Consider the following 17,617-nt stretch of genomic DNA (forward strand, 5'->3'; position numbering starts at 1 on the left):
CCATATCCCCTTTGCCAGGGCAGCTAGAATTTGGGGTCCTTACCTAATTTCAGGCATCAGCCCATGAATGCTCTATGGCCTTGAGCCAAGTTATCTACCCACTTTGATCCTCAGTTTCCTGATTTTTAAGAGAAGACAATTAGACCTACTTCACAGTGTGAGAAGAGCAAAGTTCCCAAATCATTTTTTGAAATGAGAATTATCCTGATACTATTACCTTGATACCAAAAGCATATAAAGACATTTAATAGAAGACCAATATCCTACATGAGCATAGATGCAAAAATTCCACACAAAATTATAACAAATCAAATCCAGCTATGTATGAAAATGATAATATATTATGACCCAGTGGGACTTATTCCCCAAAAATCAGGTTTGGTTTAACATTAGAAAATAATACAATGTAATTCACCATTCTGGTACTATATTAACAAACCATATTAAACAAATCAAAAGGGAAAAACTAGGTGGTCATCTCATAGATGTAGAAAAAGCATCTTACAAAATCTAACTTTCATTCCTGCAAACTAGAAGTAGAAGGGAACTTAATCTGATAAAAGGCACCCATGAAAAACCTAGAGCCAGCAGCATATTTAATCATGAAATACTTCTCCCCTGAGATCAGGAACAAGACAAGCTTACACTGGAAGGTCTAGCTAGTGTAGTCAGGCAAGAAAAGGAAATGAAAGATATCAAACAAGAAAGAAGTAAAACTATCTTTTATTCACAGATGGTATAATGTTCTTTGTAGAAAATCTGATGAAATCTCCAAAAAACTACTAGAAATAATGAGTTTAGCAATGTTGTAGAAAACAAGATCCAGATACAAAAATCGATTGTATTTTAATATGCTAATAATTAGCAGATATTGAAATTTTTAAACATACAATTTATTATAGCATCAGAAAAATGGAATGCTTAAGTATAAATCTGACAAAAAATGTGAGCTACCTGTACACTGGACCACTAAACACTAGTGAAACAAAATTGAAGAGCTACTTAATTGGAAATCAGTTTCCCCCCAGATTTATCTATAGAGTCAGTGAAATCCCAATCAAAATCTCAGCAAGGTCTTTAAGAAATTGACAATCTTATTTTAAAATTTAAGTGGAGATGCGAAATAACTAAAGCAATTTTGAAAAAACAAGAAAAAAGCTAGAAGGCTAAAACCACATGATTGCAAGATTTATCAGAAAGGTATAATAATCAGGCCAGTGTCATTTTGGCATAAAGATAGATCAGGAGATCAATGGAAGAGATTATAGAGTCTAGAAATAGACTGACACATTTATGGACAACTGGTTTTTAACAAAGGTGCAAAGACACATAGATGGAGAAAGGTTATCGTTTCAACAAACAGTACTGCAACAATGGGGTATTTATATTTTCAAACGTGAACTCCAATCCATACCTCTCACCATTTACAAAAATTAACTGAAAGTGAATCCTAGACTTAAATGTACATCTACAGTTATGAAAACTTTCAGAAAAAAAATGGTGGAAATCTTTTTACTTTGTATTATGCAAAGATTTCTTAGATACAACACCAAAATCACAATCCATTAAAGAAAAATAAAAGAACTCATCAAAATTTAAAATTTTGCTCCTCCAATGATACTGTTTTTACAATGAAAAGACAAGTCACAGACAGGAAGAAAATATTTGCAATCCATGTATTTCCTATAGGACTTATATTCATAATATATAAAGGAATCTCGAAACCCAGTAATAAAACAAACAATACAACTTTAAAAATGGTCAAAAGACTTTGAACTGATGTATTTGACATATGAATGGCAAATAATTTTGTGAAAAGATGCAGGTTAAACCACAGAGCTTTACCTGCTACAATTAAAAAGATCAAGTGTACCAAGTGTTGGCAAGGATGTAGAGGAACTTGAACACTCATATGCTACTGGTGGGAATGTAAAATAGTACAACCACTTTGGAAAACAATTTGGAAATTTTGGAAAAAGCTAAGCATATGCCCATTATATAACATGGCCATCCCACTCCTAGACAATTACCCAAGAAAAATGAAAATATTTGTCCATTCTATGACCTGTATACAATGCTCATAGCAGCTTTATTTGTAATAGCCAAAAACTGGCAGAAACCCAAATGTTCATCAACAGATAAATGGATAAACAACTCAATGAAGTTTGTTAAAATTCTAGGAAAAGTAACAGTGCGATGGAAGGAAATGTAGAATATAATAGTAGCATCTTTTAATTTTATTTTTATAGGTTCAATGGTCTTTGTGCAGATTTATTACATGGATATGTTGTGCAATGGTGAGGTTTGGGTGCCTAGTGTACCCATCTCCCGAATGGTGAACGTTGTTTCTAATAGGTAATTTTTCAACCCTCATGCCCCTCCCACCCTCCTTTCTTTTGGAGTCCCCAGTGTCTATTATTTCCCTCCATGTGTCCATGTATACCCATTCTTTAGCTCTCACTTATGAGTGAGAACATGCAGTATTGATTTTCTCGTTTTGAGTTAGTTCACTTAGGACAATGGTCTCAAGCTCCATCCATGTTGCTGCAAAAGTCATGATTTCATTGTTTTTTATAGCTGAATAGTAGTCCATGGTGTGTGTGTGTGTGTGTGTGTGTGTGTGTGTGTGTGTGTGTGTGTGTGTGTGTGTATATATATATATATACACACCACATTGTCTTTAATCATCCATTGATGGACACTTAGGTTGATTTCATTACTTCACTGTTGTGAATAGCATGATAAGAAACACATAAGTGTGGGTGTGTTCTTAATATAACATTTTCTTTTCCTTTGGGTAGATACCCAGTAGTGGGATTGCTGGGACAAATGGTAGTTCTATTTTTAGTTCGTTGAGAGGTCTTCATACTGTTATCCACAGGGGTTATACTAATTTACATACACACCAACAGTGTATAAGCATTCCTTTTTCTCTGCATCCTTGCCAACATCTGTTATTTTTTTACTTTTTAGTAATAGTCATTCTGACTGGTGTGAGATGGTATCTCATTGTGGTTTTAATTGGCATTTCTCTGATGACTCGTGATGCTGACCATTTTTTCTTATGCTTGTTGGCCTCTTGTATGTCTTCGTTTGAGAAATGTCTGTTGATGTCTTTTGTCTACTGTTTTGTAGTTGTTGATTTGTTTGAGTTCCTTGTAGATTCTGGATATTGGTTCTTTGTTAGATACATAGTTTGCAAATATTTCCTCCCATTCTGTACATTGTCTGTTTACTCTCTTGATTGTTTCTTTTGCTATGTAGAAGCCATTTATTTCAATTAAATATGATTTGTCTATTTTTGTTTTGTTGCATTTGCTTTCGAAGTCTTAATCATAAATTCTTTGGTTAGGCCAATGTCCAGAAGAGTTTTTTCTGGGTTTTCTTCTAAGATTTTCATAGTTTCAGGTCTTACATTTGAGTCTTTAATCCATCTTGAGTTAATTTTTGTAGATGGTGAGAGGTAGGGATTTAGTTTATTCTTCTACATATGCCTAGCCAATTTTCCCAGCGCCATTTATTGAGTAGGGTGTCCTTTCCCCATTGCTTATTTTTGTCAACTTTGTCAAATATCAGTTGGTTGTAGACATGTGGCTTCAATTCTGGGTGCTCTATTCTTTTCCACTGATCTATGTGTCTATGTTTTTGTAGCAGTACCATGCTGTTTTGGTTACTGTAGCCTTGTAGTATAGTTTGAAGTCAGGTCATGTGGTACCTCCAGCTTTTTTTGTTGTTGTTCTGGATTGTTTTGGCTATTGTGACTTTTTTTTGGTTCCTTATGATTTTAGAATTCTTTTTTCTAATTCTGTGAAAAATGACGTTGATATTTTATAGGAATTACGTTGAATCTGTAGATTTCTTTGGGCAGTGTGGACATTTTTAACAATATTGATTCTTCCAATCCATGAGCATGGGATCTTTTTTCATTTATTTGTGTCATCTACAGCTTCTTTAATCAGTGTTTTGTACTTCTCCTTGTAGAGATCTTTCACCTCCTTGGTTAAACGTATTTCTAAGTATTTTATTTTGTGTGTGTGTGGCTACTGTAAATGAGATTGAGTTCTTTATTTGGTTCTCAGTTAGAATGTTATTGGTATATAGAAATGCTACTGATTTTGTGCATTGATTTTGTGTTTTGAAACTTTACCAAAGTTGCTTATCAAGTATAGGAGTCTTTTGGAGGACTCTTTAGGGTTTTCTAGGTATAAGAACATGTCATCAGTAAACAAAGATAATTTGACTTCCTATTTTCCAATTTGAATGCCTTTTATTTTTTTTCCTCTTGCCTGATTGCTCTGGTTGGGACTCCAAGTACTATGTTGAACAAAAGTGGTGAGAGTAGGCCTCTTGTCGAACCGGAACAACGGTTATTAGGGGGAATGCTTTCAACTTTCCCCCTTTTTTTATGATATTGGCTGTGAATTTGTCATACATGATTCTTGTTATTTTGAGGTTTGTTCCTTTGACACCTAGTTTGTTGAGGATTTTTATCATGAAAGGATATTGGTTTTTATCGAGTGTTTTTTCTACATCTATTGAAATGATTATGTGGGTTTTTGTTGTTGTTGCTGTTGTTGTTCTTTTTGTTTGTTTGTTTGTTTGTTTGTTTTTCGAGACAGTCTCACTCTATTTCCCAGGCTAGAGCAGAGTGGTGCGATCTCAGTTCACTGCAACCTCCACCTCCTGGTTCAAGCAACTGTTGTGCCTCAGCCTCCTGAGTAGCTGGGATTATAGACACGTGCCACCATGCCTGGGTAATTTTTGTATTTTTAGTAGAGATGAGGTTTTGCCATGTTGACCAGTCTGGTCTCTAACTCCTGGCCTCAGGTGATCTGCCTGCCTTGGCCTCCCAAAGTGCTGGTATTACAGGCATGAGCCACTGCGCCCAGCCTAGTTTTAGTTTTTAATTCTGTCTATGTGGTGAATCACATTTATTGATTTGTATATGTTAAACTATCCTTCTGTCTCTGGAATAAAACCATGTGATCATGATGGATTATCTTTTTGATGTGCTATTGGCTTTGGTTTGCTAATATTTTATTGAAGATTTTTGCATCTGTATTCATCAGGGATATTAGCCTGAAGCTTTCTTTTTTGTTGTTGTTGTGTCCTTGCCAGATTTGGGTATCATGGTGATGCTGGCTTCATGGAATGAGTTAGGGAGCCCCTAATCTGACTCCTCTGACTTGTTGGAATAGTTTCCGTAAGATGGGTATCAGCTATTTTTTTTTGCACTGATGAGAAAATTTGACTATAAATCCATCTGGCCCTGGGCTTTTTGTTGTTGGTAGGTCTTTTATTAATGATTCAATTTCATTTCTTGTTATTGGTCTGTTCAGGATTCCATAGCATCTGTAAGTAGCACTGGATACAGACATCTGATAGGGTAGGGACAGGGAGGGAACCATGCAGTGGAAAGAGGGAAAGGCTTAGTCTTAATCAGGAGATAATGCTGGAATTAAATCTTCAAGAATGAGAAGATGCTAGGCAAACAATAAAGTGAAAAGAATGGCTGGCATTTCAGGCTGAGGGAGCAACATAGGCAAGAGCACAGAGGCCCAAGACTACAGTGTATTTGTATTGTTCTATGTGGCTAAGTATGTCTGGAATGTAGGTGAGCAATAAGGCAGATCATGAAGAGGCCAGAGCCTGAAGGGCCTTGTGTATTTTGTTAAAAAGAAACATTTATCCTGAAGTTATTGGGGTTAGTATTAGAAAAGTCCTTCCATGGAAATTTTAGATGGTCTTCATGAAAAGAAGTTAGGCAGCTGCCCCTCTCTCATCAGAAACATTCTCATAAGCCATCTCTTAGGATGAGTCCTTTTCAAGGATCATTTCCTCTAGCTGCTGACTGTGAATAAAGTTTCCTCTTGTAAATGTCAGAATCAGGGGCTGCCATTTTTTCACCTGAGGTCAGATCTGTCTTAGGGTGCAGCCTATTCAGCTGTCCTCTTCCCACAGCTGGGCACGCTGACTCCCTGATGAGCTCAGACTTGCCCCTAGCAGGATGTATTTGGTTTATGCGGTGGAGAGAACAGGAAGGAACTCTAGTCTACACTCTGTGGTCTGGAGCATATAGCACTCTGCAAAGAATCTGGCCCAGTGCATGTAGTTAGATTTTTAAAAAACTGTATGAGAACACTGTTGCCACAGAAATTCTGATCCTGTGTCCCAATTCTGATAGTTTGTCTAGTGTCTGAGACTCCGGCTCTTGCTACCTCAGAACTGTTTGCTCCTGTATCATCTTGACAAGTAGTTCAAAATTTCTGGGAGTGGAGCCATGGCCTACTTTTGTCAGCCTCTCTTTTCACCCTTTGGATATGGTTCTTCTTAATAGACACATTCGAGCATCATTTGCTGTGCTGGGCACTGAGTCTTGTTCAGAGCACTTACCTAGTTCCAAGGCCCTATTAGCTTTCTGCCTATCCAAATTGTCACTTTTCCCTAGGTTTCTGGGCAACATGTTTCCCTGCCCTTTGATTCCCACTTGTGATGGCTCCTCTGATATCCGTTTGCTTTGAAATTTGCTGCTTTATTTTCTGACTATCATGACCTGACTGCCAAAGTGGCCTCCCTTCTGGAATCCTCAGATTCTGCCTTCACTAGTGATTGGAGGGGCTTTTGTCTACTCTATTCATGTCCATCCTGAGAGCTGGCCTCAGCCATTGGCAGGGAAGCATTTAATAAGAGAATCAGCCTAGGTAGATACAGTGATTTTCTGTGGAATTATTTTAATACACTAAACTGGCTCCTTATTCTTTTCCTGCTTTGTGGCCTGTTTTCAAAAATTAAGCACAAATTGAGATGCTTAAGCTACCTGTCTATATGACACCTTCTTTGATCTTCATGCTCTAAGGTAGAACTGACATCCTCCCTATTTGTGACTACACTGTATGCTGAATATCAGATTCGTATCATACTATCATATTTTTACTACTCTTACATGTTTCTACCTGTATTACCTCCTCTTAGACCACGGGAGTCCAGACTGCATGTTTGTTTTTCTATTTCTAGCATCTGGGTTGGAGCGCTGGGCACATAGTAGATAGATGTTTCATGGAAGCTGTATGTGACAGCCAGTGCCTCATACAAAACTCTGAAGGTACCATACCGTAAGTGCCAATTATCAGACACAGGTAAAATACAGGACATTTTTGGAATTTGCAGTAAGTGCAATTAATATAGAAGCTGAACTTTGTCTAATGGTGGTACCTCAAAGTGATTTAATGGTGAAAAATAAGGATTTCAGGGGAAAAAATCTTAATACTTTCTGAGGAACTTTGGAATTGATGATTTCATGTGTTAAATTCTTTCCTATAAGGACTCTAGGGATAAGAAAAAAAAAATGCCACATTGCTGAGGACTGGCTGGTGCTTACTTGGGAATGCTAATATGCAAATGTGAATGTTGAGACTTCATTTCCTCATCTGTAAAACGAAAAAGCTGAATTAGCTTAAACTCAAGGATGCATCTGGCTTTTACCATCTCTTCGTACACAGGCCTGTGCATGTGCAGGAATATAAACATATATCTGTTAGAAGAAAGTGCTTTACAATGTATGGGAGTGAAATGATAAATCTGTCTTTCTCTTTCTTTGTAGTATGAAACCTTATTTGAATAATTTTTATTTTATTTTAATTGTAATTTCATATAGCAAGGTTATATTAACAACTTTTATATATGTAAGGAACAAGCAGTGACTTGTAAATTGAAGTTTATTGCTAGAAAACAACCTAATTTTCATACTGAAATTAAAAGGACAGTTTCAAAATATGTGAAAACCATTACTGTTGCTCTGTATTTTTGCCACTGTAGCAATTTAGTCAAGTAATTACTTCAATAATTTTTAAATTATTTATTACAGAAATTTTCAAACACAAAAAAGTAGAAAGAAAAGTATAACGAACACCCATGTGGCGTCACTCAGCCTGAGCTATTTCAGTTTTTCCATCTTTGTTTCCACTTCCACTTCCTTTCCTACCCCTCCACTGTGTAATTTCACTGTAAATACTTTACTATATACTTATAGCAGATAAGGACTTAAATGAGTCACAACCACAATACCATTATCACACCTGACAAAACTTAACCATTCCATAATATCATGTAATACCAAGCTTTTGTTCAAATATCTACAATTGTCTGAAAAATGTTTTCTAATAGTTGTCTTATTCTAACCAGGATCAAAACAAGGTCTACACTTTGCATCTGGTTGGTATGTCTCTACATTTCCTCTCCCAATAAATTGAGTCATTGAGCTTACAGAATTGATCACATTCTAGATTGAGGTGACTTCCCCCTCCTTGGGTTGGGCTTCCCCTCCATCGTTCATTTTCTGAATAAACCAGGTCATTTTGCCTGCAGAATTTACCACGTTTTAGAACTGGCCAACTGCATTCTTGTGGTGATGTTTAACATGTTTCTCTGGCCATCTTATTCTCTGTAAACCATCAAGGGACATTTAAAGAATCTGATGAAACAAACAGAGTCTCTCCCTGGAAAATAGCAAACATGTATACACAGATACATACATACACACACAAAATATTGCATACAATTTCAAAGGCTTCACAGATCCTCTGAAGCCACAGACCCCAGACTGAAATGCCTAATAGAGGTTTGATTAAGCGCCTGTAGGGCCATGACTTTCTTTCCCATAAATCATGAGGCCCACGATGTCTCCTTGTCCCATTGTAAGATTAGTGTTATCAGCCTTATCCTATTATTATAAAGTTCCCATCAGCCTTTTTAACCATTGATTTTAGCAGCCATCGCTTATCATTGCCTAGAATGATTCTTGATTTCATCCAAGTCGAAAATGATAATTTTTAAATTCTATCAGGATTTCTTCCCTCATCAATTACTAAGTTATCCTAAATACAGTTTATACTAGAAAAGCAGGATTCTTGCTTGGAATATTTTTTTATAGTAATAGAAGTTGTCAAACAATGACTACCATTGAAAATAATGATAGTTGGAAACTTGTTGCATCTTTTCCTAGACAAAGTAGTAACTGATTCACAATAGCAAAGACACAGAATCAACCCAAATCCCCATCAGCGGTAGAATGGATAAAGAAAATGTGACTTATGTACACACCATGGAATACTATGCAGCCATAAAAAGGAATGAGATCATGTCCTTTGTAGCAATGTGGATGGAGCTGAAGGCCATTATCCTAAATGAACTAATGCTGGAAAAGAAAACCAAATATGACATGTTCTCACTTATAAGTGGGAGCTAAACATTTAGTACATATAGACACAAAGATAAGAATAATAGACACCAGGGCCTAATTGAAGGTGGATGGTAAGAGGAGCATGAGGTTCAAAAAACCACCTCTTAAGCATGATGCTTATCACCTGGGTAAAGAAATCTGTACACCAAAGCCCTGCAACACACAATTTACCTACATAGTAAACCTGCACGTGTACCACCTGAACCTAAAAGTCTAAAAAAAAAAAAAGAAACAAAAAACAAAGCAAGTAACTGCAATAACCAAAGTAAATGGGCCAGAGATTTGAAAACTTTCTTGTGAAATGCCTTTTTACTCCAAGTCAAAAACATTCAAGGGCCATGAGATTTATTTTTATATCCCCACTTTTGCTGTTTAAAAGTGAATTTATATGCTGTCTTTCTTATAGAGAACATTCCAACAAAGAACGCGTGGGTCTCAGTAAAGAAAATTTGTTGCTTAGAGGATGCACCATTAGAAACACAGAGGCTGTTGTGGGCATTGTGGTTTATGCAGGTCGGTTATGTTTCTAATTTTCATTGTCTACTCTGTGCTTTTCTACAAGTTAACATTTTTCATTTACTCAAAAATGCAATCTGTTGAAGCAGAAAGGAAATTTTGCCTGATAAACTTAATTATTGGTCTCTGTTTTTCTAAATGGATCACAAAAGCAGATTGAACTGACAAAATAGATCATGTAACTGTGTTTTATTAAATTGTCTGCAAGAGAGATTTTTAAATATGGTATTCGCTTCTTGGCTTTAATTTGTACATTTTCTATCATACTGCACATCCTTCATAGGCCATGAAACCAAAGCAATGCTGAACAACAGTGGGCCACGGTATAAGCGCAGCAAATTAGAAAGAAGAGCAAACACAGATGTCCTCTGGTGTGTCATGCTTCTGGTCATAATGTGCTTAACTGGCGCAGTAGGTAGGTAAAATTTGATTATTTGCTGACATCTTTTCAGCAAGATATTAAAGTATTTTATTTCAAAATTATATCTGTGAATATTTGACTTTGGTAAGGTGGATTTTGTCAGTAGTGTTTTACCTCATATCCTTGTCTCTTTCATCCTTTAGCCTGAAAAATATTAATATTGACTCTATCCATTTACGTTTTGCCATAGTACTGAAGAAACCTGGAGAGTGACTTAAAGAAAGAGAGAGAGAGAGAGAGAATGTATAGCCTTTTGAATTTGAATTTTGTTTCCAAAAACAAACAGTTGATGTCCAACCAAAATGAATACTCTCATTCCTTCTCCTTTAGGAATAAAATTTTTTGTTTGCATGCCATATATTTAGCATCCTTTTGATGTCTGTGTATTTTTTGAAAGGTCATGGAATCTGGCTGAGCAGGTATGAAAAGATGCATTTTTTCAATGTTCCCGAGCCTGATGGACATATCATATCACCACTGTTGGCAGGATTTTATATGTTTTGGACCATGATCATTTTGTTACAGGTAATTTTTTATCAAGCTTATGGTAGAATTTTAACATCTTTGCTGCTTATCCAGCTATGTTCAGTTTCACATCCTTTTTTAACCTACGTTAACATTTTAAAACTTGTTTGGATCTTCTTAGGTCTTGATTCCTATTTCTCTCTATGTTTCCATCGAAATTGTGAAGCTTGGACAAATATATTTCATTCAAAGTGATGTGGATTTCTACAATGAAAAAATGGATTCTATTGTTCAGTGCCGAGCCCTGAACATCGCCGAGGATCTGGGACAGATTCAGTACCTCTTTTCCGATAAGACAGGAACCCTCACTGAGAATAAGATGGTTTTTCGAAGATGTAGTGTGGCAGGATTTGATTACTGCCATGAAGAAAATGGTGAGTGTTGGATTTCCGTGAAAACCAACCTTAGCATTGGTCTTTTTTTGAAACCACTTAAGTGTTGGATGTCTGACAATTCTGACATAGAAGTGGTTTATTTAATCATTGAGTACTTAATGCTTCCAGATGGCCTTTAAACTTCATTGTTGTTCCTTCAAAAGCTAGTAGGTTAAAGTCAAGGAGTCTACTGCCATGGTTTCTTTAAAAGTGAAGTAAATTACTAGTGGAAGTAAAGGGTGGGAATTGGAGGGATGACAATGATACTGTACTATAAATACTTTCGAAAAGCTGATGAAACTATGGGCCATTTCTTTGAAAAATATTTTGGAAATAATTCCAAAGGCATTACAGGCTCCTTCTAGCCTCATTGTTTGGCCCCTAGGTATCCATTGGTGCTTGATTAAGAATAACTAGTTTAAGCAAAATGAGCTGAACTTCTGACTCTAAAGAAATAAATTTGTAAATTCCAAGTTTACAAAATTCTTTAAAGAGTTGAACTTTATTAATTTTGCAGTTTATAAAAGAAATATGTGCTCCTTTGAAGATAATTCATTGAAGTGAACAAAACAAATTAAAAGCCCTACTCTCCCAAGGTTAACCACCATTAACAATTTGGTGAATATGTAACCAGCTATTTCTTTATGCATATTTCTCTATATGTGAACATATATTTACACATTTTCCCTTTTATGAGTTAGAACATGTAATAGTACTATTTTTGTAAATTGTTTATTTTATTCAACAATGTCTTATGAAATTTTTCCTAAGTCAGTTCATAACTTAAAATTAAGAATATAGTTTTCTACTATATGTGGTCAAACTTAGTTTGCTATGCTTAATGGTGGCCACTTAGTTTGTTAATATAAAAGCACTTGTAGTTAACGTCACTTATTCATTCACCAAACATTTTGTGAGCTCCCAATATGTGGCATGAGTCCCTGATTGCATGTAATTTAGATTTATGACAAGAAGATAGATAAACAAGATTAAAATTATGATAAATAAAATTCAGCATTCATTATGCATCTTGGTACATATATATTTATTCAATTGTTTTTATAAGACACATTTTCCTCTAAAATATCATGCTAATTTACATTCCTACAACCCAGAAAAATAATGCTTCTTTTTCACACCCAGCCATAATGTAATGAAGTTACACTTTTTAATCTGTGTGATTTTTACAGACAAGTTAGCACTTCATTGTCTTAATTTGTCTCTGCTTAGTGATGAGATTTTTACCTTTTTATATGTTTTTCAGTCATCTGAATTTCCTTGGTAAATTAATTGAATTATTTCCCTGTTTTTTAAATGGGGTTTCTTTGTTCTTGTTAGTCTGTGGGAGAGCTTTTATGTAAGGTCAGGGTTAATGTTCAGCTTGTATGCTTAGTCTAGATTGTTTGTGGCCAGCGCTGATGTTCATTTGTGCACTCATTTAAAACAAGTTCTTAAATACTTAGGATATCAACCCTGATGTTATATTATCCTTTTCTTCTATATGTGACAAATATTTTTCTGTTTCATTATTTATCACTTATTAGTTTTCTATCACTGCATAACAAATCACCACAAACCATAATGGCTTAAACCAACACAAATATGCTGTCTCACAGTATCTCTAAGTCAGGACTCTGGGTATAGGATAAGTGCCTCCTCTGCTCAGGGTCTCCCACCAGGTTGAAATAGAGGTGTCTGCTGAGACTGTGATCTTATTGATGACCTCATCCTATGCTTAGCTCACTGGTATTTCGCAGAATTCAGTGTACTGAAGTTTTAGGACTGAGGTCCTTGCATTCTTGCTGCTGTCATCCCCAACTATTCGCAGCTCCAAGAGGTTGCTTGCTGTTTCCTGCCAAACAGCCTCACAACAGCAGAGCAGTTTGCTTCTTCAAGGCCAGCAACAGAATTTCTCATTTTGAATCTTTCTGACATCAGGGAAGTCCTGAATCCTTTTTAAAGGACTAACCTAATGAGATCATGTCCACCAAGGATAGTCTTCTTTCAAATTACTCGAAGTCAGCTGATTAATTACATCTGCAAAATCCTTCCACTTCTGCCACACAGCATAATTTAATCATAGCATAGTCACAAGGTGCATCTACCACGGGGGACAGGACTATTCAGGGCCATCTTAGAATTCTGCCTACCACAGTCTCTAAACTGTGCTTCCAGTGTCTCTTCTTATCAAAAGGTTTATATCTTTGTTATATAAATTTGTCAATTATTATGAATATTATGATTTCTGATGGTAGTGTTGAGCTCAGACAACCCATCATACCTGGTATTGTTAAAAAATATACTATATTTTCTTCTAGGTACATGTATTTTTAAGTCAACTTTGGTAACCTGTGAGTGTAAGGGGTAAAATGTTAAGTGTTTATTATGTAATCACCATGCAAATGTAAAATATAGCTAATCATATTGAATATGATGACACTCTGCATTATGTTTCATCTTATAGTAAAATTTAAAAGCCATCACTAACCCCCATCAAACAGAATAGATCACTGTTAGCATTTTAATGCACTTTTGGGGTCTTTTTTTTAACACATATGTATATGTTTTTGTTTTTAAGATATGCATTTGCACGCACACACATTTATGTTTTTGTCTTTAAAACAGAAATGGCATCGCAGTGTGATTTTACTTTTATAACCATTTTTCTTAAGACTTCATCATTCATTATTCCATAAAATGGAACCACATTAATAATGCTACGCTAAACCTCTATAGTGCATTTGTGAGGTTAGTGTTTTCCTGAATTATTTGACCACAGATCCCCATTTTTAGGAACTGTCTTGCAGCAACAATGTTTCATAAAATATACAGTGAGAAGCACTGCTTTATTTTTTTGTATTTATAACACAAAATTTTGTGTTCATAACATTTCAAAGAGCTAATACTAGCCCTCCTCCACTCTAGTCACTGAACATACATATCCCTGCCCAAGTGAGTATTTTTCGTTTATGCCTCCTCACACAGAAAAGATACCAAGTGACTGGGAATCAAATGCTATCCTGACTGAACTGTAATTGATAAGCTACCTGTTTGGGAACCAAAGTTCTAGAGGTACTAACTTTGCCTTTGACCACTTCTCTACCATAGACACACCTAGAGCTTCTGGTCTTTTTTATGCAGTGGTTTAAAATTAAACACATGTGTATACACACACACACAAACTAGTGGAGACCAGTTCTCTCTAGAAATTAATTCTGAGGCATATTTTCACTGAAGTGAAAACTATTTTAACAGTGTATCTGTGTTTTAATGGCTAGTCCTTTAGGGTTTTCTGCAAAAGTGTTGCCTAGGAGACAATTTGGTGAAGAATATTGCTGCTTGGAAACAACCTCTCACACATGGAATTGCACTAAACACACCTGACAACACCATTGTATATTTTAAAACCTTCTAGCTTCGAAATGTGTTCCATGTACTGGCAGCATCAGCAACACCCGGGCATGCTTTTAAATTGCAGAAACTCAGACCCCTCTTCAGAGCTTCAATTAAATGCATTTTAATAATATCCCCAGGTGATTAATATGCATATTAAAATTTTAACAAGCCACTCCTTTAAAAGACTTTAAAGAGAATGACTTTCTTAAAAATAAACTTTTAAATTTAGGATAATTTTAGATTTACAGAAAAGTTACAAAAATATCCTGGAGGGTTCCAGCATGCCCTCATGCCGTTTCCCCTGCTGTTATCATCTTGCATTAGTCATATGATATATTTGAGATAAGTAATGAACAAATGCTGATACATTATTATTAATTGAAACCCATATTTTATTTGGACTTCCTTCATTTTTACCTAATGTTCTTTCTCTGTCCCAGGATCCTAGCTAGGATGCTGCATAACAGCCATCATTTTGGTTTCTCTAGGTGACAGTTTCTCAGATTTTCTTTCCTTTTGATAAACTTAGCAGTTTTGAGTGGCATTATTCTGGGATTTTGTAGAATGTCCATCAATTTGGGCTTGTCCAGAGTATACATTTATGATGCACAATTTGTGAATCTGATTTACATGGAGGCAGTAGCATTGAACACTTTTCAAGAACAAGGATTTTGGAATCAGGCCTCCTGAGTCTGCATCCCATTTCCACTACCTACAAGCTGTGTGGCCCTTAACAACTATCTAATTTCTCTGTGCCTCAATAAAAAGGATCAATGACACTATCTATCTCATTGGATGGTTAAGAGAATGAGAGAAGATAATTCACATAAAGAATTTAGAACAGCAAATGGCACAAAATGAGTTCTCTATAAATATAGCTGTTGTTACTGTTGTTGTTGTTGTAAATATTGTTAAAATAAGAAATAGGCCTATCTCTTAAGGAGCTCATGGTCCGATGTGGGAGGCAGATATGTAAACATAAATTATCATGTTCATTGTCATAAGATATAAAGTCAGTGTTCTTGTTCCATTTTGTTTTGATTTTCAGGCAGTCAGTATTGGAGGTGGATTTTGCACTGATTAAGGCTTGGGATGTTGAAGCCAAGATACTGGATGTTCTTACGATGCTGGAATTGTATGGGGAATTTGTTTAGAACAAAGGTTTATATATCAAGGATATATGGGTGATACAGTTGGAGGAGGTTTAGCTGAGTGTGTTATTTACAAGCAGGCAAAAGTTGGAATGCTGGAAATGTTTGCAGATTTAGTTCATAGTGAAAGGGTTGATGGAGGATTGATGATACAATTGAAGGAAGCTCATCTGAATGCTGTTCACCTTTGTTTCGGGCCCTTTGGAGAGCACATTGAAAGTATGATAAACTTTTTGTTCTGTAGACTCATGCCCACTTCTTCCATATATCAAATTGATGCAAGTAACAGGCTATAGGAAGATTACTGGGTATTTGAAGAGGGGAATGGGAAGAAAAGACAGATCGGGGATTAAATAATGAAGAGAAATAAAGTAGACAATTTGGTACCTATCTCAATATCTACCTTCAGACAAAGGAAAGAATAGACTTTGTAAGTTTTTTCTTATGAAGCAAAAAGTAAGAATTCCTGCCCTGCTTTGAGGCATTCATGTAACTATTTTGGAGTCTACCTTAAGGTAAGTATTAAGAAATATTAAAGAAATACTAAGAAATATTAAAAGTCATAACGATTTGGATAAGTTTTATCAATATTATAATAAACCTTTGTTTCTCATACAATATATTTTTTTAACACAGGGTCTCACTCTGTTACCCAGGCTGGAGTGCAGTGGCATGATCTCAGCTCACTGCAGCCTCAACCCTCTGGGCTCAAGTGATCCTACCACCTTAGCCTCACAAGTAGTTGGGACTATGGGCACATGCCACCACGCATGGCTAATTTTTGTATTTTTTGTAGAGGCAGGATTTCGCCATGTTTCCCAGGCTGGTCTCGAACTCCTGGGCTCAAGCTATCTGCCAGCCTCGGCCTCCCAAAGTGCTGGGACTACAGGTGTAAGCCACCACACCTGGCTTCACACCTAATTTTTATAAAATTCTCACTGAGCCTGGAATTATAGCTCCAGTAGCTTTGTTTTCTGAATCACATTGTAACTTTACTGGTCTATTTCCTTTTTTGAGAAGGAGTCTAGTCTCGCCAGGTTGCAGTGAAGTGGTGCGATCTTGGCTCACTGCAACCCCTGCCCCTTGGGTTTAAGCAGCTCTCCTGCCTCAGCCTCCCTAGTAGCTGGGATTACAGGTGCCCGCCACCACACCCAGCTAATTTTGTGTATTTTTAGTAGAGATGGGGTTTCGCCATGTTGGCCAGGCTGGTCTCAAACTCCTGACCTCAGGTGATCCACCCACCTCGGCCTCCCAAAGTGCTGGGATTGCAGGCCTGAGCCACCGGGCCTGGCCTATTTCCTTTTCATAGCTTCCACAAAATGATTAAAGGTTGAGTCACTTCATATCTTCTTGATTCCACTTTTGCAATTGTACTGACTGAACAAGTTTTCCCTACAGTAATAGCTGAGCTACCTGGAACTATACTAATTATATAGTTGCATGACGACTGATTTCCCTAATGATGGCTAGGAGTTACACGATCATTAAATATAGCCTCCATGTTTATATGTGTTTTGAAGTACAGTATTACCCCCTTATCTGTGGTTTTACTTTCCACAGTTTCAATTACCTTTGGTATAGTAAAATAAGATATTTTGAGAGAGAAAAAGAGAGATCACATTCACATAAGTTTTACTACAGTATATTGTTATAATTATTCTATTTTATTATTAGTTATTGTTGTTAATCTTTTACTATGCCTAATTTATAAGTTAACATTTATCATAGGTATGTATGTATATGAATAAACATAGTATATTTAGGGTTCAATACTATCCGTGGTTTCAGACATCCACTGGGGGTCTTGGAACATATCCCCTGTGAAAAAGGGGAAACTTCTGTATTTTTAAAATATTTTTTAAATGGTGTTACGTCATCAATAAATTCCTTGAGCTACTCAAGGATTTATCAGTCTCAGCACTATTTGGGCTAGATTAATCTTTGTTGTTGGGGGCTGTCCTGAGCATTGTAAGATGTTTAGAAGTATCCTTGGCCT

At 36.2% G+C, this 17,617-nt stretch overlaps 1 protein-coding gene across 1 annotated transcript in view; it reads left to right on the forward strand.

Annotated features, from left to right (window-relative positions):
* ATP10D (ATPase phospholipid transporting 10D (putative)) overlaps positions 1–17,617 on the forward strand; it is a 108,212-nt gene that overhangs the window by 40,590 nt on the left and 50,005 nt on the right. Inside the window, exons 6-9 of the mRNA NM_020453.4 lie at positions 9,645–9,751; positions 10,038–10,169; positions 10,573–10,700; positions 10,822–11,074. Of these exons, the coding sequence (NP_065186.3) occupies positions 9,645–9,751; positions 10,038–10,169; positions 10,573–10,700; positions 10,822–11,074 (620 nt within the window). The remainder of the gene's footprint in view (positions 1–9,644; positions 9,752–10,037; positions 10,170–10,572; positions 10,701–10,821; positions 11,075–17,617) is intronic.

Source organism: Homo sapiens, chromosome 4, assembly GCF_000001405.40.
Source record: "Homo sapiens chromosome 4, GRCh38.p14 Primary Assembly".
NCBI lineage: Eukaryota > Metazoa > Chordata > Mammalia > Primates > Hominidae > Homo > Homo sapiens.